We start from the raw sequence: 25,934 nt of genomic DNA, 5'->3' as shown, positions 1-25,934 counted from the left end.
GAAGAGCTTGTCGGATGTTTCATTTAAGATCTGCTTGATGGGCAAACCCCATTTCCCTTGTCTACCAACATCTCCTGTCAGTGGAGGAGATGCGCTTTGCCTGACAGGACTTTGCTACCAAACACACGCTGTCTACTGGTGATCTCAGCTGCCCTTCTCAAATGCCCACTAGCCTTCGTTTAGAGTCTCTGCAGGAGGCACATTGAGTTCATCTCTGTGGTTTGCAAAACCCACCTCAGACCCCTTTCTGGTAGTGAGGACTGTGTGGCCCACTGGAGGCCTCCCAGCCGCCCTAGTGCTTGCCAGGATCCTGTCAGGATTCCCATGAGATCAGGAATCTACAGCTGTTCTGAGCCTCATTTGCATGTTCCCTGTTCCCTAGATGTGTGTCCCGGCCAAGTGGCTTGAACACATTCAGAGCAGCTGGAGCTTCTGTAGGCCTCTCACCAGCCTCCGGCTTGGCCCTCCTGTGCCCAAAGCTCCTCTCACCGTTTCCTTCCTGTGGAATGGGGAAGACAGAAGCCAAGCTGGAGACAGCTGTAGGATGAGCCAGAGAAGCCTCCCAGATCGATGAGCAGCAGCCTTGTTCCCCGTCAGCATCCTTTACCCTCCAGCTCCCCTCTTCCCTGAAGCCTTTCCCTCTCTCCTTTCTATTCTGGCTCTTTGACTCCGTGGGGAAAGCACATAAGTGAAGATGGGGTGTGTGCTTCCAGAGGCTGGATGGGAATGCGTGAATCTGGCTAGATTGGGAGCAGGGAAGAGAGCTAGATGTGAGGGCCTCAGACACTCTGCTGAGGAGTGGGGCTTGGAAGCCAGCTTGGAGTGGGAGGAAAAGCCGGGAGCCACACAGACTGGGTCTCAACACCTGCTTTGCCATTTACTGTTAGAGTGGCCTTTGGGCAAATTATTTCTCCTCTCCAAGGCTCAGTTTCCTCATATGTAAAATGGCCATCATACCTACTTCAGAAGGTTGTCATGGGAATTGAATGACACAAGTTCCTTTCTGTATAGCAGGTCACCTGGAAAAGTACCTGGGACCTCAAGGTACCAAGTGAACCGGTCCTTTTGCAGAGTGGACTAGCGAGCTGGAGCCCAGGACTCAGCAGTTTGCAGAAGCGGGCGGGTGTTGTGAGGATTTCCTGGTTTCCTGAGAGCTTACACTGTAGCAGCCTGTTTTAAAAGCTGCATGTGTTTTAGCTCATGAAATTCCTCACAGCACCCCCATTTTACAGATGGCATGACTGAGCCAGGCTGAGATAGGAAGGTATGAGATAACTAGTAAGCCAATCCCAGGCTTCCTAGCCATTTGAGCCAGTGCCTCCCAACTCTCTCCTGTGTCTGACCGGTGTGTTCTTTTCATTCCCGCTTTTCCTTCATCCATTGCATTGGCTCCATCCCTGGCTCCATTATGCAGGACCCTGCACTGAAAACAGTCCTTACACTGTCTCCTCCTCATGGTTGGGTTGGAGGCGGGAGGCAACTCAAGGCTCTGTCTGTCTCTAAGGACACCTCTCCAGGCACCTTCCATGAAGTCCTAATCACAACCAGGTCTGTTCTCTCCACTCCCTCCATCCATCTGTAGAAGAAATGATGTCATCAGTTAGACTACAGCTGATGGAAGGCAATTCTGGTGTGGCCTGGCTGGAGAGCTCTAGGACTGGGGTGGAAGGATGAAGGAGGAAGAGGAGGGGGGAAGGTAGTGTGGATCCCCTTCTTGCCTCCTGCAGCCCTGAACCTCTGGATGCATGATGAGAGGAGGTGAGGTGCTCCTCTTGGCAAGATGGCTGCACACCTAATTAACCTGTGGCTTTAATTACACTTCACAGCCCAGTCCTGCTGGGAGGAAGGATTGTTCAGAGATTGTCACACTGGGCTAACTGTCTGCAGCGGTTTCTACTTCAGGAATGCCTCTCCTTGAAAGGGTAGGACCGGGGAGGATGGCTCCATACAGACCTGGGGCCTAGGTGGGGTAGGGACGGAGGGGCCATGCCTATGGCTTTGCCCTGGTCACCTGCTGGGGAAATCTTCTTAACCTAGGATGAATCTTGGCCTGGTTTGGTGCTGTGGCCTCCTCCAGGGGCACAGAGGAAAATGATGGTAGGGATTGGGAGAACATGGGGGAGAAGGCATAAGAAGCCTTAGGGGTGGGTGAAAGCCTTCAGCCCCAGGGATTCTGATGGGATCTGCTTCGTATTCTCAAATAACAACTACCATGTATGAGGACTTACTACAGGCCAGTCTCTCACCGAAGTCCTCATAAAGGCCTCTGAAGGAGCGATGAGCCCCGGTTTACACACGAGGAAAAGACCTCAGAGAGGTTAAGAAACTTGCCTAACATCTCACAACTATATAGAGGTAGAGGCAGGATTTGAACCTAGGCCACGGCGAAGCCAAAGTGTGCTCTTTCCACGTGACTGGGCCTCTCCTGTGGCTCCTGAGGAGCACAGTGCCAGACAGAGCCCGGGAAATGCATGTGGTGTTGGAGGGAGATTGGAAACCAGGAGGGTCAAGCAATTCGAGGAGGCAGAGTTTCCTGCAGGGATGTTGTTCAGAAGCGCTGTCTTGCTGGGAGCCCCAGAGCGGGGTTTCTGGCTCATTCTGTGTCCTGGAGAGGTGATGGGAAGCCACTCTATCCTTCAGTACAGGAGGTGCTTTCTCAACCAGCATTGCCATGGCCTCCTCCTCTCTCTAGCCCTGTACTGGTTCCCAGGCTGTCCCTCTCTTGTGGCCTCTCTGGGATAGCAGCCTTGGTGCCTGTTCCTCTGTTAGGAGCGTGTGTCCTGGGCTCACTTTCTGAGCTCCCAGGATGCAGGCATTAACCTTGGGTTGCAAGCTCTGTGCATGTGTGTGCTGGGCAGGGCTTCATTTCACAGAGGCCCAGGGGCAGAGTCTGCTGTCCTGGGGAAACCCCACCTTCCAGCTGGGCCTGAATTCAGGATTTCCCCCTTCTTGGGCAAAACCCCAGATTCCATCTCAGATCTTTCCATATGCACAGGGAATGTGGGTAAATCAAGGCCTGGGACGAGCCCCGGCTGCCCCACAGTCTCCTACACTGAACTGCACAACCCTGACCTTGCTCAGGTGTGACACAGAGGCTGAATGGGGTGACCATGTCTTGGATGATCGATGTGACAGGCATTCTGTTTTCTAAACACAGGCTCCCTAATCCCCAGGGGGCCATCCCAAGAGCTGTTCCTTCATCTCATGAATAGGGAAACCAAGGCTCTGGTTGCTAAGTCTTCGACCCCAAGACACACTCTGTCCATTCCTCTGCCGCTCTGATGGGGGTGGGAGAGTGAGGGTCGTGAGATGGCAGCTTTGGGGGGAAGGGGCTCAGCTGTTACATGAGAGGAGGGGCTTGCTGTACATCTCCCCTGACTTCTGTGTGCTCAAGAATGGCCTTTGGGCCTATCCACTTGAGAGTAGGCTCCCAGGACGGGCTGTCTGCCCCCATCTTCACAGAAATGTCCTGGCCTCAGTGAGAGAGCCCGTGGCTGTCAGCCCACATGTTCAGCCTGATTCACACCCGCTATTTGCTGTAGAGGTTTGGGGTGGTGAGTCCCAGATAATACACCCTCACCTGCTCTGGGCTAAATGATGATGATATTGAGAGAAACCTTTTTTTTTTTTTTTTTTTTTTGAGATGGAGACTCACTCTGTCACCAGGCCAGAGTGCAGTGGCGCAATCTCAGCTCACTGCAACCTCCACCTCCCGGGTTCAAGTGATCCTCCTGCCTCAGCCTCCTGAGTAGCTGGGACTACAGGCGCATGCCACCATGCCCAGCTAATTTTTTGTATTTTTAGTAGAGATGGGGTTTCACCATGTTGGCCAGGAAGGTCTCCATGTCTTGACCTTGTGATCTGCCTGCCTCAGCCTCCCAAAGTGCTGGGATTGCAGGTGTGAGGCACTGCGTCCAGCCGACACCATTTTTTAACGGACCACTTCGCTGTTGTTGAAGGACATCTGCATCCTCATTTACTTCTTCCAGAAGCCACAACTTCCCTTTCCTGAACTCCATGCCAGACACTGTTTTAATGCCTTCTGTACATTATCTCACTTAATTCTTACAATTACTAAGTTCTGAGTTTGGTACTGTTATACCCATTTTAGAGGTGAAGAAATTCTCCAGAAAGGGTATGACCAAGGTCATACATCTACTAAGAGGCAATTTTAAACCCTTGTCTTCCAATTCCAAATTCCATGATTTGTCCCATCCTACCACATGGCCTCTGCTGTTGGTGTGAGCATGCTGGGGTATTATGGGGTGTCAGGACCTGGCCCTGAGCCCTGGGGTTCCAAACTTCCTGAAGGCACTCCCCGCCTCTCACCCATCCAGAGCCAGCCACCTCCGGTCCTCCAGGCCCCACCATCAAAAAGGGACTCAGTTCATCCAGCGAGGAGCTTGGGCATCTGCATATTTTTTAGGGCTCCCGGGTGAATCAGGCACCTTTTCCTGCCTTTGTCTTCAGCTCCTGGTGCTGCCTGTACTGCATCACCATGCCGTCTCCCTGCTATGAGCTTCATTTCCCAGGGCAGAGACAGAGCAGCATTTGTCTTTGTGTCTCTTTGCCCAGCCCAAAGCCAGGCACCAAGGCCTCAGTAAATGTGTGTCGAGTTATTGTTAAAGAGAGAGCTAAAGCCATGAGACATCCCAGTTTTCCCCTCCTATATCTTTCTTTCTAAGCCTGGATGGAGAATCTTCTCAAAAAGAAGATCCTTGATTTTCTGTTTCCACTGTAGGGTGAGGACCAGAGGTCCGGAACCCCTGCAGGATTGCAAGGTCACTTGATAAGCCTCAGTGGCTGGAAATGGAGCAAGGGACACTGGCTGGGTGCTGTGTGGAGCAACCATGGAATAGCATTGTCTTTCTTTTTCTTTCTCTTTTTTTCTCTCACTCTCATACACACACACACAGACACACATACACACACACACATACATGTGAACGGAGGGAGTAAATCTTTAAATACAGTGGTGGGTGGGCACGATGTGCAAGGCTTGGGGGAACACATTTTATACTCTCTGTGTTTATCCCTGATGTGTTCACAGGACCCTCCCTCATCCCACAGAAGAAGCTTAGATAATTAAAACCTAACACAGACCCTTCCCTTACCCACAGTCCCCTCGCCTAAAGACACCCCCACTGTGAGTTCCTCCCCAGAAGGAAGTGAGGAATGGAGAAGAAAGTAGGGAAGTCTCAACCCCCGCTCCCTGCACTGAGAACCCCTCTCCAGAGAGTGGAGAGTGGAGTGTGGGTGCATTGATAGGAGTCTGAGTAAAAGCTCCCTTTCATCTCAGGCTGAAACACTGAGCCTTGATTTCCTGCCAGCCGCTCTGTCCATAAAGAAATTGCCCTGCCACGGGTCCACCGGGTCCGTGTCTTATGCAGCCTCGTTGAAAACTGGGTGGCATTGATGGAGCAGGCTGCTCTGGGAAGCTCGGGTTTCCTCTGCCCAGCAGCCTGAGCCACATCAAAGGTGCACTTGTGGTGGGAGGCAGGGCACTGCTCTTTGGGCTGTCCTTTGGTGACACCCAGCCCTGGGCAGCTGCAGCCCCCCAGCTCCAGCTGCAGGCCTCTGTGCCCCTCAGCTCCTGAACCCTGAGCCCAGGGAAAACCCCTGCCACTGTTGGTTGACACCTACCTGCTGCTTGGATAGCCATGCCTCTCTCCCCCTGTCTTCAAATGGGCCCAATTTGGTCCTTCTCCAGAAACCTGCACCTAACTCAGCTGGCTCCTGGATTGTCTATGCTTTTTCTTGTCTGCCAAGATTTTGAATGCGTAGCCCCCACCTACTGCATGTGTGTAATCCCCAAATTTGACATTGTTGACATCTTCTCAAAACCCTGTCCTTCCCCAGCTTCCTCCTGACTCTCCTCCACACCTCGTCCTCACTCTCTCCTCTGCCTCCACTCTCCTCTCCTCCCATTCAGATCCCACCCACCCATCAGGGCTATATCCAGCCATACCTGATGCACGAGGCCCCTTCTCCTGGGCCCTGAACTCTGGAGTGCCTTCAAATAATCCTTTAACAAATACCCACTGTGCATCTACAGGTGCCGAATACTCTTCCACTGCCTTAGAATGGAAAAGTACTGACAAGAACCCTGTCCCCATGGAGTTTATATTCTAAGCAGGGGAGATAGAAAAAACAGTGTTCGATTCTCAGTTTATTATTGATTAGAGGCCAGACCTTATGAAGCTAGATGTTAACATATAGGTGGATAAGTTGCAAGTGATTTTTACCAAGTTGAGATGCAAATTATTTCTCTCCAGTAGAAAAGATAACTCCAAAAGTTATGGTGTTATTGTCCTGTAGGACAGTTCTGTCTCGACATAACAGACTTATTTCTGCGTGCCTTTGCCGATCATGCAAACCCCGTTCTTCAAGTTCTTTTGAGCCAGATTTGCTATTCCTCATTAATGAGTTAAATAAATATACACATATGAAAGCATTTTGAAAATTATACTTTGACAGTGGCTTATACATTTTCTGTGTCTTTCCTTAGTTTGGTCTGCCTCCTGGCATTTCTGGAATTGGAATTATACTATATTGGAGTATACTGGAATTGGATTTATACTGTACTTGGTATCTGTCTTAGTTCATTTTCTGTTGCTTGTAACAGAATACATGAAACTGGGTAACTTATAAAGAAATGGAATCTATTTCTCACTGTTATGGAGGCTAAGATGTCCAAGGTCAAGGGACTGCATCTAGTGAGGGCCTTTTTGCTGTTGGGAACTCTACAGAATCCCAAGGTGGTGCAGGGTACCACATGGCAAAGGAGCTAAGCATGCAAATGTGCTCACTTAAGTCTTTTCCTCTTCTGGAAGGAGCCACCAGTTCCCCTCCCATGATAACCCATTAACCCATGAATGAACTAGTCCATTCATAAGGACAGAGCTCTCATGATCCAATCACCTCTCAAAGGCTCCACCTCTAACACTGCTACATTGGGGATTAAATTTCAACATGAGATTTGAAGGGGTTGTTCAGACCATAGCAGTATGGATAAGGGGAAGAATCAATGTTTCAATTGAGAAGTGCTTAGCAGATCTCACTTAGCTCTCAAGTGAGGGTGGAGGTGGCCAAAGAAGGTTATCCTGGCTTTGGCTTCCCTGTGATCTACCCTAGAGAATGAGGGGAGGGTCAGGGTCTGTGTATGTTAGAGGTAGTCCCAGGGGCTATCTAGTGAGCCCTTGTCCACCCTCAGCTCCTGAGAGCAAAACCCTGATACAGCCCTAACACTGAGTGGGGCAGAAGGAAGGGGGCAAGAGCAAGACCCGTGTGCATGAGTAGGTGTTGGGAGGTCAGGGGATGTCCCCAAGGGTACGCTGGCTTGCAAATTTGCCCCATGCTCAGAGGGCAAGGGTAACATTGTGGGAGTGTTCTTTTATGTCTAAACATTACCACCCTCTCATTCCTCATGCTTTTCTGGGTGGGAAGTTCTGCTTTATATTTTATTCCAATTATTCCATTATAGTTTAGACCGGGGATGCAAAGAGAGGCTGGAATATCTGGAAATGCAGCTGGGATTGTAGTGGGAGGGCTTGTTTGTGGTGCAAAGCAGCTGCCCTTTTCATCTAAGCAGCTGTGTTTCTGTTCTGAGAATGGGGGTGGTGGTGGTAGGGGATGTGTATGGAGCAGAACTGAACATAGATGGGGGGAGGGTGGTAAGGATGATTGGATGATTCTGTGGGTTCCCAGGCCTGGCCGTTGCTCAACACAGAAGACCAAGGCTTCCCTTGGCTTAAAAAAGCCCAATTGCCATCCTGGCTCTCTCAGCCTCCTGAGTGCCTGTTCCTCCAGGAAACCAAAGTAGCCCAGAGTAAGGGAAAGGGTTTGCCCCACCCCAAGCTTCCAAATCTCCCAATTCCTAATTTCAGCACTCAGGGCAGCACCAGCAAGCCCCTTAGAAGGTTGTTGTTTAAAATAGGGATTTCCATTCAGTTTAAAGGTTGAATGTGTTCAGTGTTTATTTAAATTGGTATGGGAAAGCTTTACTAACATCCTTTTCTAATTGGAGCTGAGGTGACTTTAAAAAGTAACTAATCAGTGGTGTGGGCCACTATTTGGGGAGCATTTGTTAGTTCCTGGAGACTGAGGGTGACAGGAAAGGAAGGACATTTCTTCTTTTCTCTCTCTTTCTTCATTTTCACGCTCCTGACTTGTCAGTTACTCCCATCCTGCTCTGTCGTCCCCTCATTTGGTTCATGTACCACCCAGCAGCCACCTCTCAGGGGTCATTTACCAACACCAGACATTGGAGACGCAAAGATGGATGAAATGCTTTTCCCAGCTGCAGACACTCCTAGTCCAGTGGACAGTGACCCTTCATGAGTGGACAGTGCTTTTAGGTTGACAGAGCACAGTCACATTTGTTGTGTTTTGAGTCTCGTGAGAACTGGGGAGACAAGCCAAGGCAAGCATTATCCATCTCAGGAGGAAGTTGAGGCTCAGAGAGGTTGCAGAACAGCTCCAAAGTCACACAGGTGGTGTTTGGCCAAGCCAGAATGAGAAGAGCCTTCTGGGTAATGGCCAAGCCCATAATCTCTGGCCATGCAGGGGCTGGCAATCAAAGGTTACAGGAATTGGTGGGATGGAGACAAAAACAGTCTGCATGGTAGGCAGGCCCCTGGGAGGAGGGTCCCCCTGAAACTGGAGTGTTTCAGGGATCAGGATTGCTCTCTCCATTGCCTGGAAAAAAGTGAAGAGCTCAAATGACCCCCTCAGGCCAACCACTCTTTCATCCCTGGAAGTCACATTCTGGTGGCCAAGGAGTCCTGAGTCCCTATTTATTCTCTATTCCACCTCCCTACCCTCAACCTCAGCCAGTTACAATGAGAGGAATTGGAGTTAAATATGCAATGAAGCCTGGGCAACATAGCAAGACCCTATCTCTCTAAAAACATACAAAAAATTAGCCAGGTATGGGAATGCACACCTACAGTCACAGCACTTTGGAAGGCTGAGGTGAGAGGATCACTTGAGCCCAGGAGTTTGAGGCTGTGGTGAGCTATGATCGCACCACTGCACTCCAGTCTGGGCAACAGAGCAAGACCCTTTCTCTAAATAATAATAATAATAAGCATCAAATGAAGAACATTTCTTCAGTGAGACAGGATGGGGTGGGGAGTCAATTACAAAAGGAGCTTGTGAAGTAAAAACTGGCATGATGTCCTTTAATAGGTGACAGATAATGTCCTTTCTGGCTGGGGAGGACCCTGATGCTGTCAGGGGTGGGGACAGGTGGAGGAAGGCTGTGGGCAGGAAGAGGGTGTGTAGGGGAGCAGTGGGGTCTGAGTGGTGGATTGGCTATGGTGCTTGAGTGAAATTGTGCTCATCCCTAGAAGGAGTGAGTGCTCAGGGCTTCTGCCATTCCTCTGACCTTTCATGCTGGCCTTCCTGAAGGCAAGAGAGGGTGCAAAAGAGATAACCTCTCAGAGTTCCACCAGGCCCTGGTTCTCCCATTCGGGAAGTTTTTCCTACAGAGTATTCTGGACTTTCAGGGAGGCAGTGTGAGGTTTGGTCAGACTGATCATCAGATTTAGTAGGGGAACTTTAAGAAAAGACTGAGTATGGGCCCACCCATGAGATTCAGATTTGATAGGTCCAGGTGGGGCTGGGAGCCTGAATGTTTGCTCTAAAAGAGCAACATCCTAATCCAAATACCAACTATTTGTTCACCGGAAATGAGGTGCAATCAATTTCCATCAGTGTGGAGGAGCCTGGTGGGAGGCCAGCCGTAACATATTGTTGCCTGGGTATGTTATATTTGCAGTCTGCACCTTAACTCCCAGCTCTCCAGAGAAGCTGGGGTGGGTCATTCTAAAGTGTAAAGTGTTCTAACACACTTTAGATTGGCCTCTTTAAGCAACAACAGTTTTACATTGTTAGCCATTGTGTTTGTGGTTCTCTATAAAATGTGTTATATGCATCCCTGCCTTCTTACACGGAGTAATGCAAGCATAAATGTAACCTTTTCTTGGTGTCCCAAGGGTATGTTAGAAACCTTAATTAATGGACTGGGCTCTGATTCAGTGGGGTGTATGGGACAATTTGCTTACGCCAAATGGCCCCCTGAGGTTTTGAGTTTTGTGCCTGCTCTTTCCTTTTTCCAGCTGTGCCTCTTGCTGACGGATGTCCCTTCTTGCTAGACACAATGTATCTGCCTAAAGCAAATTTTTCTTCACTTTTAATTTGCATTTCTTATATGGGCTTGGAAAATGGATAACTAAAGTTCTTATAACTGAGTAGGGCACCTTGTGGTAAACTTCCCATCCTCTATTCCACACCTCCTCCCGGAGTAACAGCAGTGAAACTTGGGCTTGCCTAAGGGGATGGCCTTGACAGGTTTAAGGGTACGTATGCTGTTTAGCTTTAGCAGGGGTTGGGCCATAAATGGATACATGACACAATTTTGACTAATGGGATTTGAGGAGAGGTTTTTGATTTCTAAGAAAGTTCTTCCTCTTTGTCAATAAAGAGCCACCAGAAGTCATTCTCTAGGTAGATGTTAAACAAGGAAGGCTGCCCTGATTGTTCTTGGCAGCTGAATTAAAACTTCAAGAACTTTCTTTTTATTATTATTATTTATTTATTTATTTATTTATTGAGATAAGAGTCTCGCTCTGTCGCCCAGGCTGGAGTGCAGTGGCGCAATCTCAGCTCACTGCAATCTCCGCCTCCAAGGTTCATGCGATTCTCCTGCCTCAGCCTCCTGAGTGGCTGGCATTACAGGCGCCTGCCACTGTGCCTGGCTAATTTTTTGTATTTTTAGTAGAGATGGGGTTTCACCATGTTAGCCAGGCTTGTTTCGAACTCCTGACCTCGTGATTCGCCTGCCTTGACCTCCCAAAGTGCTGGGATTACAGGCATGAGCCACCGCACCTGGCCACCTTCAAGAACTTTCTTTGGGAAGAGGCCCCCTGAGGATGGAGAATGGCAGGATGTGGAATTTTAGCGGCTGGCAGAGATGGAAAGAACCTGAACTACATGATTTTTTTTTTTATCTCTAAAGTTCCTCTCATGTGAATTATTCTATTTTCTTTGGTTTAAGCCTCTTTGAATTGAATTGGGTTTTGGGTTACTTGAACTAAAAGCATGTCAATGGTAAATACTGAGTGGATGAACTAATAGTGTGTGGGTGCAAGGGGAAGCCTGAGGTTTTAGTGGGGGCACTTTTTTACTGTGTTTCGGTTTCTCCAAAGGTGGTTTTATGTTTTGATTTGGAAGTAGGCTTATTTCTTTATGAGATTTCCAGGTGGGTAGTGACTGCTTCTCATTCACTTTTGTGTCCTCAGTACTTGTTGCAGTGCCGTGCACTTACTGGACATTCAAAAAACTTAAATTGACTTGAACTCAGCCATCTGCAGGTGTCTGCAGCGTGCTTTCCCCTTCTTGGTGGTAACTATACCTGCTTGTTGATCTTTACCTATCACGGTCACTGGGATGATAGACATATGACACACTATGGATGCTAGTAATTTTTTTTGTAGTGCTTCCCAGGTTACAAAGTGCCACCTCATCCTTATCTCCGGAAATAAGTATGTCCGGGGTCATCACCATTTTACAGATAAGAAAACCAAAGGACTGTGTGTTTACTTGAAGTTTAATTTTCTGACTAGTTCTTAACAAATTTAATTTGGAAATGGCATCCAAAGCATTTTCTTTGAGAATAAATAACCCTGTGCTCAAAAAGGAATCCCTCTTTTAGTATTTCTCCTAAACAAGTGTCCCACTGTTTGCTGAGACGTGAATGACTTATAATGATCAATGTCTGCAGGTCGGGGCTTCAAGAGGCTACTTTGGCTGGGGACTGCCCCTGCCTCCCACGGCTCCCTCCAAAGAACTGCAATTTGCTGTCAGGTTACAACACTTCAGGATTCACAGCTTGAGCTTCTCACTTAGTTAATTGGTGCTTATTCTTCAAATTGGGTTGTTTTCGCCAGTAGAAGAGAAGCAGGAGTTTGCATCCGTCTGCTGCTCTTGCAAGCTTTGCAGCAAGAAAATGAACTGGGAAACTTGAGGTGTTTCTTACTTAGAACGGTGATTATCCACACAAAAGCATTTGGGAGCAGGACACTGAGTAGGTCTGCTTCTGAGGGAATGCATGGGTTCTCCTGTGTCTATTAAGACTGGCAGGCTCCTTTGGAATGCAATGCACTGGGTTAATGGAATAGTGAAAGTTGAGCTCCACCTCCATCCCCCATCCGTGATGCCTGTCCACCTGACTCCAGCATAGGGCTCCAAGAATGATGCCCTCCAGACTCCTCTTCCCTTGCTCTCTCCCCATGATCCAATGGGTTTCACTCATTTGTGTTTTCCGGCACTTGGGTTTCTCCATCCTTGTGCTCACTGGGGCCTCTTGACATGCTAGGATGCACAGCCTATTCTGATTCTTGTGCCTTGGTTGTCTAGCTGATTTCTCTTTCACTTCAAAACACCTATGGAAATGGTTGTGGAGAACACTTATTTTGACATTGTTTCAAATATGGCATTACATGTGTATCTTGTCTCCTGGAGGGCAAGGATTGTGTTTTACATTGCTTTTGGAGGAATGAGCAGCTCCCAGCATGCACCTTATCGTGTAGAATTTAGAGTTATCAAAGGAGTTGGTTACCCAATAAGTGCCTGAGGAATGTCATCACCTCTTCTTTTTGCTATATGGATTCCCTGTGCTCGCTTCTCCTGCCACTAAGTACCTTGCCTGGCTACTCGCTGTGAGGCTGAATGCAGGTGTCGCCAGGCCTGGGCTTTCAAGGGCATGAATGGGTATGAACTTAGCTCATGTTGTCTAAGTGCATTCTTCAGTACATTATAAATGTACATTCAGTACATTATAAATGCATTCTTCAGTACATTATAAATACATTCTGGATTTTTGGTCACTGGGAATTATGAAAGGGAGATAGGTAGGAAGCGAAGAGTTGGATAGAGTGGGGCAGATGTATTGAGTATGAAGGGAAAAAGGTTTAAAGATTCCTCCACTTCCCTGACGGCTGCAGCTCTTTGTGAATTTTCTGCTGCCACCAGCAAAGGTTTAAAAAAACAGTGGAGGTCAGGGTGGGGGTGGTTCCTTCTCCAAAATCTATGGTTCTTGGACTTGTTTCTCTTTTTCTCTATGATACGCCTGCTGCTCCTCAGGCCTCCACAGAAAAACTCACCCCAGGGAGGCTGAGCTGTGGCCAGTGGCTGCCACCCACTGTATGAGAGAGGGTGGGGATGCTGTGGTCATTCCCACATTCAGACTCCCCTGAGATTTCCCTTCAAGCATTGGCTGTCTGAGTTTATGGTCTCTTCCCACAGCCTTTCCATCTTCTCCAGCATCACCCCCTATCCCTTGCCACATCTTGCTGGGGCCCAGTACTTTGAGCTCTGGGGGGCTCTTGGATATGAAATCTGCCCTGCTCCTCCCAGGGCTGCCTCCTGGGGATCAGCCGGCTCCCCATCTAGTGCAGTCCCTTGCAAAACGAGGCCAAGCCTCTGGGATTCAGTGTGGGCTCCCACTTCATCCTTATTTCTCGCCTCAGGTGGTTCTCCACCTGGAGCAGATCAACTACGACCACGTACGCAGGTGTCTGAAAGTATGGGGCTGTTTTGGGTATCCAGGTGACTGGGGTACCCTATTGTCATTTGGTGGCCAGGGATGCTAAATCCTTGCAGCTCACCAGGAAGGTGCATCCCTCAAAAAATGCCATGGCTCCCCTGTTAAGAAGCACTGTGCACCCCAGGCTGGAGTTCCGGCTTTAGCTGGAGTCACAGTAGGTTTGAGTCCCTGGGTTTGAGTTCCTGCTGTGCCACCTATTGGCCTGTTACTTTAGTTCCCTAGCCTCTGTCTCCTCACCTGCACCCTGGGGTGATGACAGTGACCCCACTTCACAGAGTTTAGATAGGATTAGATTTGTGAATATACCTAAGGCACTCTGGACAGTGCCAGGTGCATGCCAAATGCCAGAGAGGCATTTGCTGTTATGATGCCCTTTATAGCCTCTTCCTGCCTGACCTCCAAGGCCACCCCTTTGGCCTCAGGTTGAAACTGTTGTCCTGGCACTTGCCTCATGATGACTGGGCTGTGGCCACCATGACTGAGAACCTTTGCCCAGGGTTTGCACCTGCACCACCTCTGGGACCTGCTCCCCATGGCCCATTCCTTCCCAGTCCAGCTCCTCTCTCCTGCCCTTGCCCTATTCTATCCTTCGGGAGGGCTGCTCCTTTGTTCTGTTTTCTTTTGTTGTTTTTGAGACAGAGTCTTACTCTGTTGCCCAGGATAGAGTGCAGTGACTCAATCTTGGCTCACTGCAACCTCCGCCTCCTGGGTCCAAGCGAGTCTCCTGCCTCAACCTCCTGAGTAGCTGGGACTACAGGCGTGTGCCACCATGCCCAGCTAATTTTTGTATTTTTAGTAGAGATGGGGTTTCACCACGTTAGCCAGGATGGTCTCAATCTCTTGATCTCGTGATCTGCCCGCCTCAGCCTCCCAAAGTGCTGGGATTACAGGCGTGAGCCACTATGCCCAACCTGTTCCTTTTATTAGGAGTCTATTTTCATGGCTCTCTTTTTCTCTCTTTTTCTCTCTGTCCCCATAGCTGTTGTGGATGTTTGTTGTTTTCTTCTTTAGAACCTGTTTTAGCCTGTGTAGATTCTTAGGCCCCACTCCAGAGATTGTGCTGCAGGATGTCCAGTTGGGACCAAGTATCAGCGTGGAACCAGATGCTGGCAGTCTTCATGGAGCCAGCCTCCCGCTCCATTGGTCCTGTCTGCATGACTGCTCCTCCCTGGGGAGGGGAAGGAGAAAGGGAGGGTCCTTGCTGCCCTCAGCCCCAGGAGGTAGAGGCTCATTTGTGGTTACAGCTGGTCACCATTTGCCTCAGGTACAGATGTCGTTATCTTTGGTGGGTTTAAAAAAAAAAAAATCTACTTAAGGCCGGGCATGGTGGCTCACTCCTGTAATCCCAGCACTTTGGGAGGCCGAGGTGGGTGGATCACCTGCGGTAGGGAGTTTGAGACCAGCCTGGCCAGCATGGGGAAACCCCATCTCTACTAAAAATACAAATCAGCCGGGCATGGTCACAGGCGCCTGTAATCCCAGCTACTTGGGAGGCTGAGTAACGAGAATCGCTTGAACCCGGGAGGCAGATGTTGCAGTGAGCTGAGATCGCACCACTGCACTCTTGCCTGGGCGACAAGAGTGAGACTCCATCTAAAAAAAAAGAAAAATCTACTTAAAATTCTACATTTATATTTTCTTCCAGCTGGGGACATGCCTCAATTCTAAATTACTGCTTTGGGAAATGAAAGATGATAGAAGGTGAGAGGTGGCATTGCTTTCCCTTAGGAATGTGGTGTAGTGGGAAGGAGGGCCTCCGGGCTGGAACTTGACCGCCTGGGTTTCTAGCTCCGACTCCATCACTAGCTGTTGTGTGACCTTGGTTGAGTCACCTGCCATCTCTCGCCCTCATTTTCCTCATTTCTAACATGAAAGGGTTGGACAGGTTGGACTTGCTGAAGTTGTCTTCCCACCCTCAAAGTCTATAAGTCAATAAGTCTATTTAATTGTGCTGACAGCTTTAGAGTGGCTAATTAATGAGAGTTTAGTGGGAACACAATTAGGTGATAATGAAGGCCTCAGAAGTAAATCTCTCTACTTCTTGTAATGAGTTGAGCCAATGAGACTTGGAGTATCTTTTCACTGAGTGGAGCCCCTGGGAAGAGGGAACAAAGAGCCCCAGGCTCCTACTTGGGGCCTAAAGGAGGCCAGGAGTCAGGGATGAAGTCACACCTCATGAGAAGCTGGGTAGCTAGCTGACTGTCCTGCAGCCAAATGGGTGGACTAGCAGGGTAGGCCTGGAGCTTTGTGGGGTGGAGTGGAATTCTGGCAGCTCTGCAGACCTGGGTAACACTGACCCAGCCTTCCGTCCATTTCCAGAACACGTTCACCTGCTTTGCCTTGTGGAATCCTCTCACATCTGGTGAAATAGATAAGCCTGGAACTTTTATCTTCCCCATTTAACAGATGAGAAGTGGAGGCTCAGAGCAGTGACTGGCCCAAGGTCAAGGAGCTGATAAGTGACAGATCAGGATTCGGCAAGGTTCTTGATCCCAAAGCCCCGTCCTTTCCGCTCTACCTGACTAGCTCCTCCAGTCTGAGGGCCAACCTCTGCGGGCTGCTGTGAGTGAGCGACCCCAGAGTGAAGTGGGTCTTGCTGTTCAGAGCTCTCCCAGAGGGTTTGCCAAGGCTCCCTGGGCCTTGGCTTTGTGGATGGGCCCTGGGAGAAGGAAAGATCAGGTTGGTATAAGAGGTGGGGATGCCTGGTCTGTGGTAAGAAGGCCCCAAGGGAGGCTCCTGTGAGGCTCCTCAGCATCTTGACAGGCTGTGGCCTTGCTGCTGAGAGCTGCCTCAGCCAGGTACATCACTGTCACCGAGCTCACCATGGCGGTCGTCGGGCAGTGTTTGCTGCCTGAGGTTGCATCAAGCTGGGAATGCCCTAAAGTGGGGGCGTGAGGAAGAGAAGGGGTGATACCTAGAGGCTGGGGTATCTCTGTCCCAAGGAGACAAACTATAACAAGACCCAGCGAGGAGAGAGGCCCACTCTGGGTGGTGTGGGGCAGGGGCAGGGTCTCCTGGCCTGAGGGTAGAGGCCTCAGGCCGATGAGCTTCCCTCAAAGACTCTGGCTGCTGGTGACTTTGGCTGCAGAAACACAGACCTTGACTTTTCCCTTCTGAGTGAAACAGGGCACAGGCATTATGCAGAGATGCAGCATCTTTGCTGCAGAGGGAGGGAGGAGGGAAGGAAGGGAGGGAGCAAGCATTTGTCTGGGTCCTGCCCTAGAAATGCTTCAAGTAATAAAATCAGGATGACTTAAGAAATCCATTACCCCTCTTGGCCTCCCACGGCCACCAACATGCCCTGGTGGAGACGGGGGGGGGAGAGGCCTGGGGACCAGCCAGGTAGCGTGGCCTCAGTCTCCTGGCCTGTGAACCAGGGGATGGGGTAAGGTCCCCATCAGCTCTGACCTCAGGCGGGTCTGGAGTAGAGAAAATCTTCTGGAGAGGGGCAGAGGAGGGATTGAGAGGAGATGCAAGAAGGATAGGCGAGAAGAGGAGGAGCTAGAGGAGAGGAGAGGAAACTGAAGGAGGCTGAGGAGAGGGGAGGTGAAGAAAGACATGAGAAAGAGAGCAGAACACAGGTGTTCGAGTCTCTGCCTTGCCACGGAAAAGTCTGTGACCTGGGTCCGGTCAGGCACGCTGAGCCTCGGCTTCCACACCTAAAGAGGAGATGGCAGTGCCCACTGCACTGTTGTGAAGGGGTAAAGGGCAGTTTACAAACCATAGTGCCACACAAAATGATATGTTGAATTCACAAGAAAAAAGCAAGAAAGGAGGTAGGGAAGGTGGAGCCAGGGCAACAGGAGAGAGCCTTTTCGGGGCTTCCCTTCCCTGGGGTGTGGACACAGGACAGCGTGTGGGAATGGCAAGTAAAGAACCCAAGGGTGGACCAGAGAGGGAACTAATCCTCCCTTGGCGAGGCTGTTTGCACCCCTTCCAGGAGACAGAAACCAGGGGCTCCCTGCATCTCTAGCTGAAGGATCTTTGCCTGTGCAAGAACATTCCTCATGGGGGCTGGGCAGGTCGAACGCTACTCGGGCTGCCTTCCCAGAGGCCCAGGGCAAGGACAGGGCAGTCTTGGGCTTTGGGGTCTCACGGAACGTCCCAATTTCTGTCAGACTTAAACTCTTGAAGGGCTGAGGAGGCTGGTGTGAGGGGTGCACGGTTATAAAAGAAAGCCCTTGACAGAATCCTGCACAGGAAGGCTAGAAAGACAAAAAGAGAAAAATATGGCTGAAGAACATTCTGGAAAGCCCCAAACCAAGACAGTGCTCTCAGTCCATGTGGGCCCAGCCCCACAGTCCCTCCTTCCACTGCTCGTGCCTGGATCTTGGCATGTGTGAGGCCAAGGCGGGGAAGCACGGGGCCGGGGTCAGGGCAGCCAGCTCCCCTGGCAGGCTAGATTTATGATTTGGCTGAGCTGGGGAGAGAGGGAGCCTGCGACAATCCAGGGTATGAAAGGCAGCCCAGTGTTTCCTAGAGCAGCCGTGGTGCCAAAGGCAGGGACGTCCATCTGGCCTTTTTATGTAGTACATTTGTCACCCAGATCCCGGGGCCCAGACGGCCTCCCTTCTGCCACCCGTAGCCGCCAAGGCCAGTTCCCACCTTCGGCAGCCTCTGTTGTGGGACCTGCAACCCCAGTAGATGCTGAGTGTGTGTGTTGGAGAAGAGCTGCCCCCTCCCTTGGGACCCTCTTAGGCTTCGCCCTCCAGCTGGCGCCCATCCAAGTTGGTGTCTACTCAGTGTTCCATGGGGATGAAAAGCCCTGGAGTCAGAGAGGGGAAAGGCCCTCAGACTAGTGCTGTGATCTCAGGCTGTGTTCTGAGGTGTTCGGAGCACCTCCAAGCCATCTTAAGAGCTGCTGAATGAGGCTGACAGCCAGGCTCCAGCCCTTGACCCATCAACGTAGCTCTGCTTCTGTCTGATCTGGATATATACAGATATTTTAGGTAAGATGTCACTTGAATAATGAGAAATGGAGGCTCAGAGTGGTGAGAATGGGTTCTGCTGCTGAAAAGTAAACAGTTTGAAGACCACAAATCTGGTCTCATTTCAAAGAGGAAGATACAGTGGGCCAGAGAAGACCAGCAGCCCAGCCAATTGTTGGCAGAATAGGGACGAGAACCCAAACCTCCTGGCCCCCCAGCCATGATCTCCCCATGATACTGGGCTGTCTCATGAGGTGCTGGCCTGAGCATTTATGGCCATCCCTTCTTTTCAACCCCAGGGCCTCCCTCTCAAGCTTGGGTGCTGTGTCCTCTCAGCTTTACCTATGCTGGGGGGTGCTTCAGGATGTAAACCATGTGTGGCCCAGGCCAGCCGCTTTCAGGTATGAATCAAGACCTCTGTGGCTGACCCATGATTACAGCTTCTTCTGCCCAGAGCCTGTCTCTAGTGTGGCAGGGTGTGGCCACCCTGTCATCCCAGGGGCTGTTGGTGGTTATCGAGGGTTTTCTGGTAGAGTGTAGGCCATTCCCTTTTCTTACCTTTTGGTCTCTGGAGAAACTTGTCCTGTTCTACTCAGGCCTCCATTTGTTCATTTGGGATTCTGATGGTTGTTGCTGACCCAGCCACCCTCTGCCATGGTCCCTGGGTTCTGTTCCAGAAAACCCCAGACTAACATTTTTCCCAGGCAAGCAGCTCTCTCCACCCCCACCACCCGATGTCCTGCTTCTCACAGGGTCCCTCCAGCCCTGGCCATGGTCCTGGTTTCCAGCTTGGCTTGCCCTGGGTTACGTTCTGCCTCTTTGGCTGGACTCACTTTTCCAACCTGACATGTTGCCCCTCTGCCTCTTCTCTCTGGGTTTACACCCCGGCTTCCCTCCTGCTAAACACCCCTCTCAGCTCCTTCCAGCTAGGCCCTTCCCCTTTAAGCAGCTCACCTGGAGGCCTCCTTCCCACTGCAAGAGCCACTACCTCCGTTTCCCAGGATTCAGTAGAAGAAGAAATAAAGGATCCAGCATCTCTGAGGGCCAGGCATCGTGGGTGGCACAGTACCCATTTCATCCAATTTGATTTCTCACAACAGCCCTATGAAGTAGATATTAATATTCCCACTTGTCACACAGGGAAACCGAGTCTCAGAGATTTAGCAGCTTGCTCAAGGTCACACAATTGATACATTTACACTCCTGGTCCTGCCTAACCCCTGAGCCAAGGCAGTCAACCACAATAGTAAGCTGCCTAGGCGGTCACCTCTCATGGTCAAGCCAATAACCCTTAGGACTAGGGTGGCACAGCCTGTGGTGATCTGTCTCCAAAGAGCTCCTCCCAGTACCAAATCCCTCACTGTTTACCTTGTTCTCCATTTCTCCCTACAGACCCATCAGCACACACCCATCATGGCAGGGAAACGTAGGAAGGAGAAGCAGGGGCCTCCCCACTTTCACAGGCCAAGAAAGAGTAATCACTTTTGTACTCGTTGAGAACCACTATAATTGTTTGCAAAGAAGGAGGTAAATATGAAAGCCATAGATGGGGTCCTGGCCTCCTCTGTGGTAGCCAAGATATGAAACAGAGAGGTGTTCAGACCTACAGGTGGCTAATCTTACAGGAGAGGGAGAGACGAGAGGCTGTGGAATATCCTCTACTCCCCACTATACTCTCTGCAGTCCTGGTTTCCCTCCAAATGAATTGTGCAGGCAGCCTGGAGTTACCACTCGCTCTTGTTATCTGTGGGGTGTCTTGGTGGGCAGCACAGAGGAGGGAAGGTTGAGGAAGTCGGGCTGTAGTGGTGCCGGGCTGATGGCACACTCCAGAAGGGCTTGCTGTCCTCCCAGCCCAGGACCCGCAGGAAGCCTGGTGAAGAGGATATGGCTCTGAGATGGGGCCAGGTGGGGAGAGGCTTCTGAGGCTTATGGAGAATGGGTGTGGGGACAGGTGGGCTTGAGGTGGGGGGGCCAATGACCAAAATGGGAGCATGAAAGGACCTGGGCTGGGAAAAGGAGGGGCGATGCCGCTGACTATTTCGTGAAATGCTTCTTCCAAAGTTGTTCCCCAAGAGTATTCAGCAGGGGGAGCTGACTGCTGACAGCAGCAGCTGTGGGGGAGGCAGGAGCGGGAGGGGTGGCATTATCACCCTCCCAGAGCGGGTGGCAAGGGGGCGGGGAGGAAGGGATGGTGTCTCCTGCCTGTTCTGGATTCTGTGTCTCTCACCGCCCATCCCCCTGTCTCCAAACCCAGGAGGAGAGAGGGATTGCATGAAATTAGAGAGGGACCGATAGATACTCTGGGAAGATGCACACACTGCTTCTCACCCTCCTCTCTTGCTCACATGCACACATACAGTCTCTCACACACTCTTACACACACTCTTTCTCTTCCTCGCTGTCTCACTCTCTAAGCCAGGGCATTACACCACTGCTCTCTGGTCCAGCCAAAGTTGGAGTATTCCTGGGACAAATAATCCACCCCACGAGGATAAATCATCCTAAACCATCCTCAGGCAGCTTTGAGGAAACACGGGAGAGGGAGCCAGCCCTTGTGGGGTGGCCAGGGCTTGGCCAGCTGGGAGGACAGTCTGGCACTGGTGATTGGTGTGTCACAGCCGTGCTGCGAGCTGCTTCCAGTGCTTTTGTCTGGTGCTGGGAGTGAGGCTCAGCAGTGTGAGGGACAATTGGAGATGCTCGGGGGCAGGCTGCCGCGTTGTGTCCTGCTTTTCTGCGGCCAGACCAAGCCGTCTGGAGCTGCTGGTCAGGTTTTCTTGCTGACCTCACCTGACCACAGTGGCCTGGGTGGACTCTACAGGGAAATGTTGTTTTCTCCCTGGGAGCAGTAGCAGCAGTCCTGGCTCCCCTGGACTGAGAACTCCTCATCAGCCCCAGGAAGCCCGGACCCCCTTTCAGGGATCTGGAACCGGTGTGCCTGTGGCCCCAGGTCTGCTCCCAGGCGTGGGCTGAAGTCCTGACTTCTGTCGCTGGGGGCAAGGAGTGGGAGAGCCCAGCTGCTGCCTGGGCTTTGGCAGACAGCAGGCTGATGGTGCTGGCTTCCCCGAGACTGCTTCTCCTGCCTGCTGTCTGATTTCCCTGCATGGTGCCCGCAGCTGAGCTGCTACGGGTGAGTACTTGGACACATGTCCCTTTCTGCGTTTGCTGGGATGTACCTAAGCGAGTCACAGTGGACCAGCTCTGAAGCTGTATTTTCAGAGAGACTAGACATTAGTTTGCCTCACCTCATGCCAACTGGATGGGGTGGGAGATCTAGGGAGCAGGGCCAATAGGGGGTGAGGAGGTGGGGCATCAGGGAGCTGGGGCTGCAGGTATTTTTCTCAGGAGTCAGGAGACCCTGGAAGGAGAAGTTTCTCCTACTGCTTCCCTCTCCTGGTTGGGTAGAGATGTGTCTAAAAGCATGTGGAGGGATGGTGTCTCCGAAATGCCCCACACCCACAGGTGCTCCAGGCTTTCACTTGTACTCTTGCTGCATAACCCCTGCTAGGTGAAGGGCACAGAATGCAGAGTGAGATCTGCCCTTTCCTTTCCCTGGCCATGTGGCTTATCCCTCCTCCCACGCTGTCATCATCGTCCTGGAGCCATTGAAAAGTCTCTGTGATCCTTCTGCTTTTGCCCTGGAGCCCCTGACCCGTGGGCTGCTGGGCTTCACAGAGTCACTTTGCTATCAGCACTGCCAGGAAAGGGCACGGGAACTCTTTTTTTCTTTGCAAACAGTGGTGGGTCCCCACTTAGAACGTGCACAAAATGAAACACAATGAGGGTGGAGAACCACAGCCCTTGGACCCAGGGACCCTCTGTTATAGCCTGGACCCCTGCCTACCCATCAAAACCATTCCCCTTGGTGGTTACAGTTTTGTTTTCAGCTTGGGCTGCCTCCGGGAATAAGGAGATCTAGGAGGTCGCCACATGCTTCCTGTATCCGTAACGGGTTCTCAGCCATCTGTTTTGCCGTCACAGGGATGCCCATCTTCCTAGAATTCCTAACATGCCTGCGATCATGTTTTCTCTCCTTTGTGATAGTATGGTCTTTGCTTATATCTCCCTAAGTCTCATACCATGAGTATGTTTCGACAAGATAACCTCTGAGGTCCCACTGGGAACATTTCCAACTTTCCAGAGGGTTGTGTGTGGCACAACTCTGGTGCACCCCCACCCCCACCCAATATACCCCTATCCTTTGGAGCTTGCCTGAAATCTAAGGCAGGGCTGAAGGACCATGATTCTGACTCATCTGAGATTTTCCTTCTTACAACTCAGTAATCATGGCGTGGAGGGTGCAGCAGTGTTTAGGTCAAGGTTTCTCAACAGCAGCACATTGGAAATTGGAGATGGATAATTCTTGATGTGGCGGAAGGGGACTGTCCTATGCCTTGTAGGATGTTTGGCAGCTTCCCTGGCTTCCACCTGTGTGATGCCAGTAGCACCTTCATTTGTGACAGCCCAAAATGCCTCCAGACATTACCAAAGTTCCCCCAAGGGCAAAATTACTCCTGGCTGAGAACTACTGGTTCAGGTTAACACTGCTGCTGCTACATCTTCTCCTTGGGCCCTCATGTGGCCTTTGGTCCCCTGAGACTCGGTCTCATCCTAGCCAAGTGAAGTGTAACCATGTCTGGACTAAGAGTGCAAAGGCTTGTGCTCTGTGTGTGATCTTGCTCACGTTCTCACCCAATCCTGACTGGAGAATCACTTCTCCCAGCCTCCACCAATCTCTAGCTCTTTCTAGTGGAACTGCTGTGGTGAGGCTCGGCTGCTGGTTTGGGTCCTCCATCTGTGCAGTGTGAAGTCTGGGAAGGAAAATCCCACTGTTGGGTACCACCATTCCTTCTTGACACTTGCCCAAAAGCTAAAAGTGGCATCAAGGCCAGGATGGGTTTAGCATCCGGAGCATGTGTGAGCATACACACGCGTGTGCATATATGTACACATACACTTGCTGGCAGCTTTCTGGGTCCTGTACTGAATGTGAATGATGGGGAGGTGAGCCCTGCCTTCGGGAGCTGTTGAGTGAGACAGACATCATGTTCTGCACCAATAATGAAATAAATCAATCTAGAGGATTCTGTGTCTTGCTTGGATTAAGTCTCATCTTAAAGGCAAAATACTTCTGAGGAAGAGTAAGCAAGGGAGAAGAGCCTCATGAGTTTCTTGTTATCAGAACCCCTGTGGGGTCACAGGGGTCCTGTTCTTCATCGGTCCAGGAGGGCTCCATGAAGGAGACCTTCCAGAACCTATGATGTGAACAGGAGGCAGTGTGGTTGTGTGTGTGTGTGTGTGCACATGTATGTCATACATTGTGAAGCCCTCGGGTCCTTCTCTTACCTGACAGTGAGTTTGGGGGGGCAGGTAGAGAAGACAGCTCATGAGTGCCCTTGTCTCCTCCCATGCAGGCAAAGTTACACCTGGTTGAGAACTACTGGTTCAGGTGAAACCTGCTGCTGCTGCTGCTGCTGCTACACCCTCTCCTTGGGCTCTCATGTGGCCTTTGGCCCCATGAGTCTGGGTCTCAACATGGCCAAGCATTTGGCCAAGGGCAAAATCCTTCTGCTTAGGAAGTATTTCCTTCTGTGTAGGAAAAAAGGTATCGCCCTTCTTTCCATGTCTCCCATTGACTCTGCAGAAACTTGTCCTCAAAGGTGGAGGGCAGGATCCCCACCTCCCCCTCAGCAGAGGAGGGAATGATAGGAAGCCTCATGTTGCAGAGAAGTTATTGGCCAAAATCCAATTTGTGGAAGGGCGCTGAGAGGTGCTCCAGGTGCCACAAACCAACAAATCATCTCTTAATCAGCCTGCTGGGCTTTGAAATGCCTTGTGTGATCCATTTCAGCAGATTTTATCTCTAATGATGCTCGATTCTGGTAGGTAAGTTTACAATCTCTAAACAGCATCTAAAGAACAGGGACAGGGAGGTGGCTGGACAGTGCTGCCTGGGATCTTTAGTCACCCCAGACAAGCCACAGCATATTATTTTTAGGGCCCTGAGTCTTCATGGTCTCTGCCTAACTACGCAGAATCAGTTTGCCCCCAGCAACTGTTTGGGAGTCTTCACCCTTCTCCTCTTTTTCTGACCTTTACTCCCCCAGGGAACCAATTTTCTCTGAAAAGCTCAACGGACATTGGAGTAAGGGAGAGAAATCTCGCCAGACAGGCAGCTTTGGGGTAAATAAGCAATTCTGTGATTTGCACCTTTCCAACCTCTAGGGTGTAATGCTCTGAGGTTTGCAGTTTCATGGCCCCACGACAGAGCTGGGTCGCATCTACCCTGTGTCTATTCTGTTCTGTGCTGGTCTGTGAAACTTCCAGAAGTGACATGAGGATTACCCAAAGTGGAATAGAGACAGAGAGGTCCTTCAGAGCCCCAGAGGCCCTTGTGGGCTGCCATAGAAGGCACAGCACATGTCCATGAGACCAGGCACGGAATCAGGAAGCCTTACCAGAGCCCTGGTGGGCCAGTCTAGGGTCGACTATGAGGGGAAGGTTCAGAGCCAGGACACTGCCTCTGCAGCCTCAGTGCAGCTCTGCACTTGGGACCTTTCTCCCCACAACTAAGCCTGGCAACATCAGGCAGCAGACCCCAGCTCACAGCCCTCCTTGACCCACCAGCAGCCTCTGTGCGGCTGCTGGGAATCTGCAGGGGCTCTGAGCCTCCCATCTGAAACTGATGGGACAAGGGGCCATCTGTGGACAATAGGAGCTTCTCATAAGTTTAGGGATTCCAAGACCAGTCTCCCAGAGCAGGGGTGTGGACTCTCTCCGAACATATGCTGGTTAGATGCAAAAAGATTGTTTTCCTCTAGCGGAGCAGTGAGAAAGATGTAGAGGGGACATTTTGGAGAAGAGGGACTTCTGTCCATACTGTGCCAATTAGCAACAGAAGCCCCACTGGCCCTCCCCAGCAGGTGGGATTACGCGATGGGATTCCTCTTAAGTACACTGATGGCAGAGCCTGCTTCTCCAGAGCAGAAGGGCTGCATTCATGCCTGCATTCATTTCTTTATCCAACTTTTACCGAATGCTTACCAGATTAGAGCTAGGTGATGTGTCTCTGGCTTCGAGGAGCTCCCAGTCTCGAGGAGGACAAGGCTGATTGAGGTGTGGTAGCCCTCACGGGCATGAGAGCCCAGATGAGGCGAGATTAATTGGTTTTTCTGGCCATTCTCCCAGCAGAGCTTTCCAGGCCCCACCCCAAGGCCTTAGGAGATAACAGATGTGAGGTCAAGTCACAGCTGGAAGCAGCAGGCTTGCTCCCAACTGCCAAGTCCTAGAGAGGCTTGTTAATCTGTGCTCCCCAGGGCTGGCAGGAGGCTCCCCAGTGTCCCTGAATTGTCCACTCTGTGTTAATTGCTTTCTGTAATCTGTGTGCTCCCTCTCTTCCT

The 25,934-nt window shown here is 50.8% G+C and overlaps 1 protein-coding gene across 16 annotated transcripts in view; it reads left to right on the top strand.

Moving 5' to 3' along the window:
* Positions 1-25,934, top strand: part of SEMA5B (semaphorin 5B) — a 119,524-nt gene that overhangs the window by 14,157 nt on the left and 79,433 nt on the right. The window contains exon 1 of one of the 16 annotated variants that reach the window (NM_001256346.2): positions 21,211-21,664. The exons of the other annotated variants lie outside the window; for them this stretch is intronic. The gene's annotated coding sequence lies outside the window, so the exon portion shown is untranslated. Of the gene's footprint in view, positions 1-21,210; positions 21,665-25,934 lie in introns of those variants that run through there. 16 annotated transcript variants of the gene reach the window in all.

Source organism: Homo sapiens, chromosome 3 (genome assembly GCF_000001405.40).
Source record: "Homo sapiens chromosome 3, GRCh38.p14 Primary Assembly".
Classification (NCBI taxonomy): Eukaryota; Metazoa; Chordata; class Mammalia; order Primates; family Hominidae; genus Homo; species Homo sapiens.
This window is presented reverse-complemented; position numbering and strand designations above follow the sequence as displayed.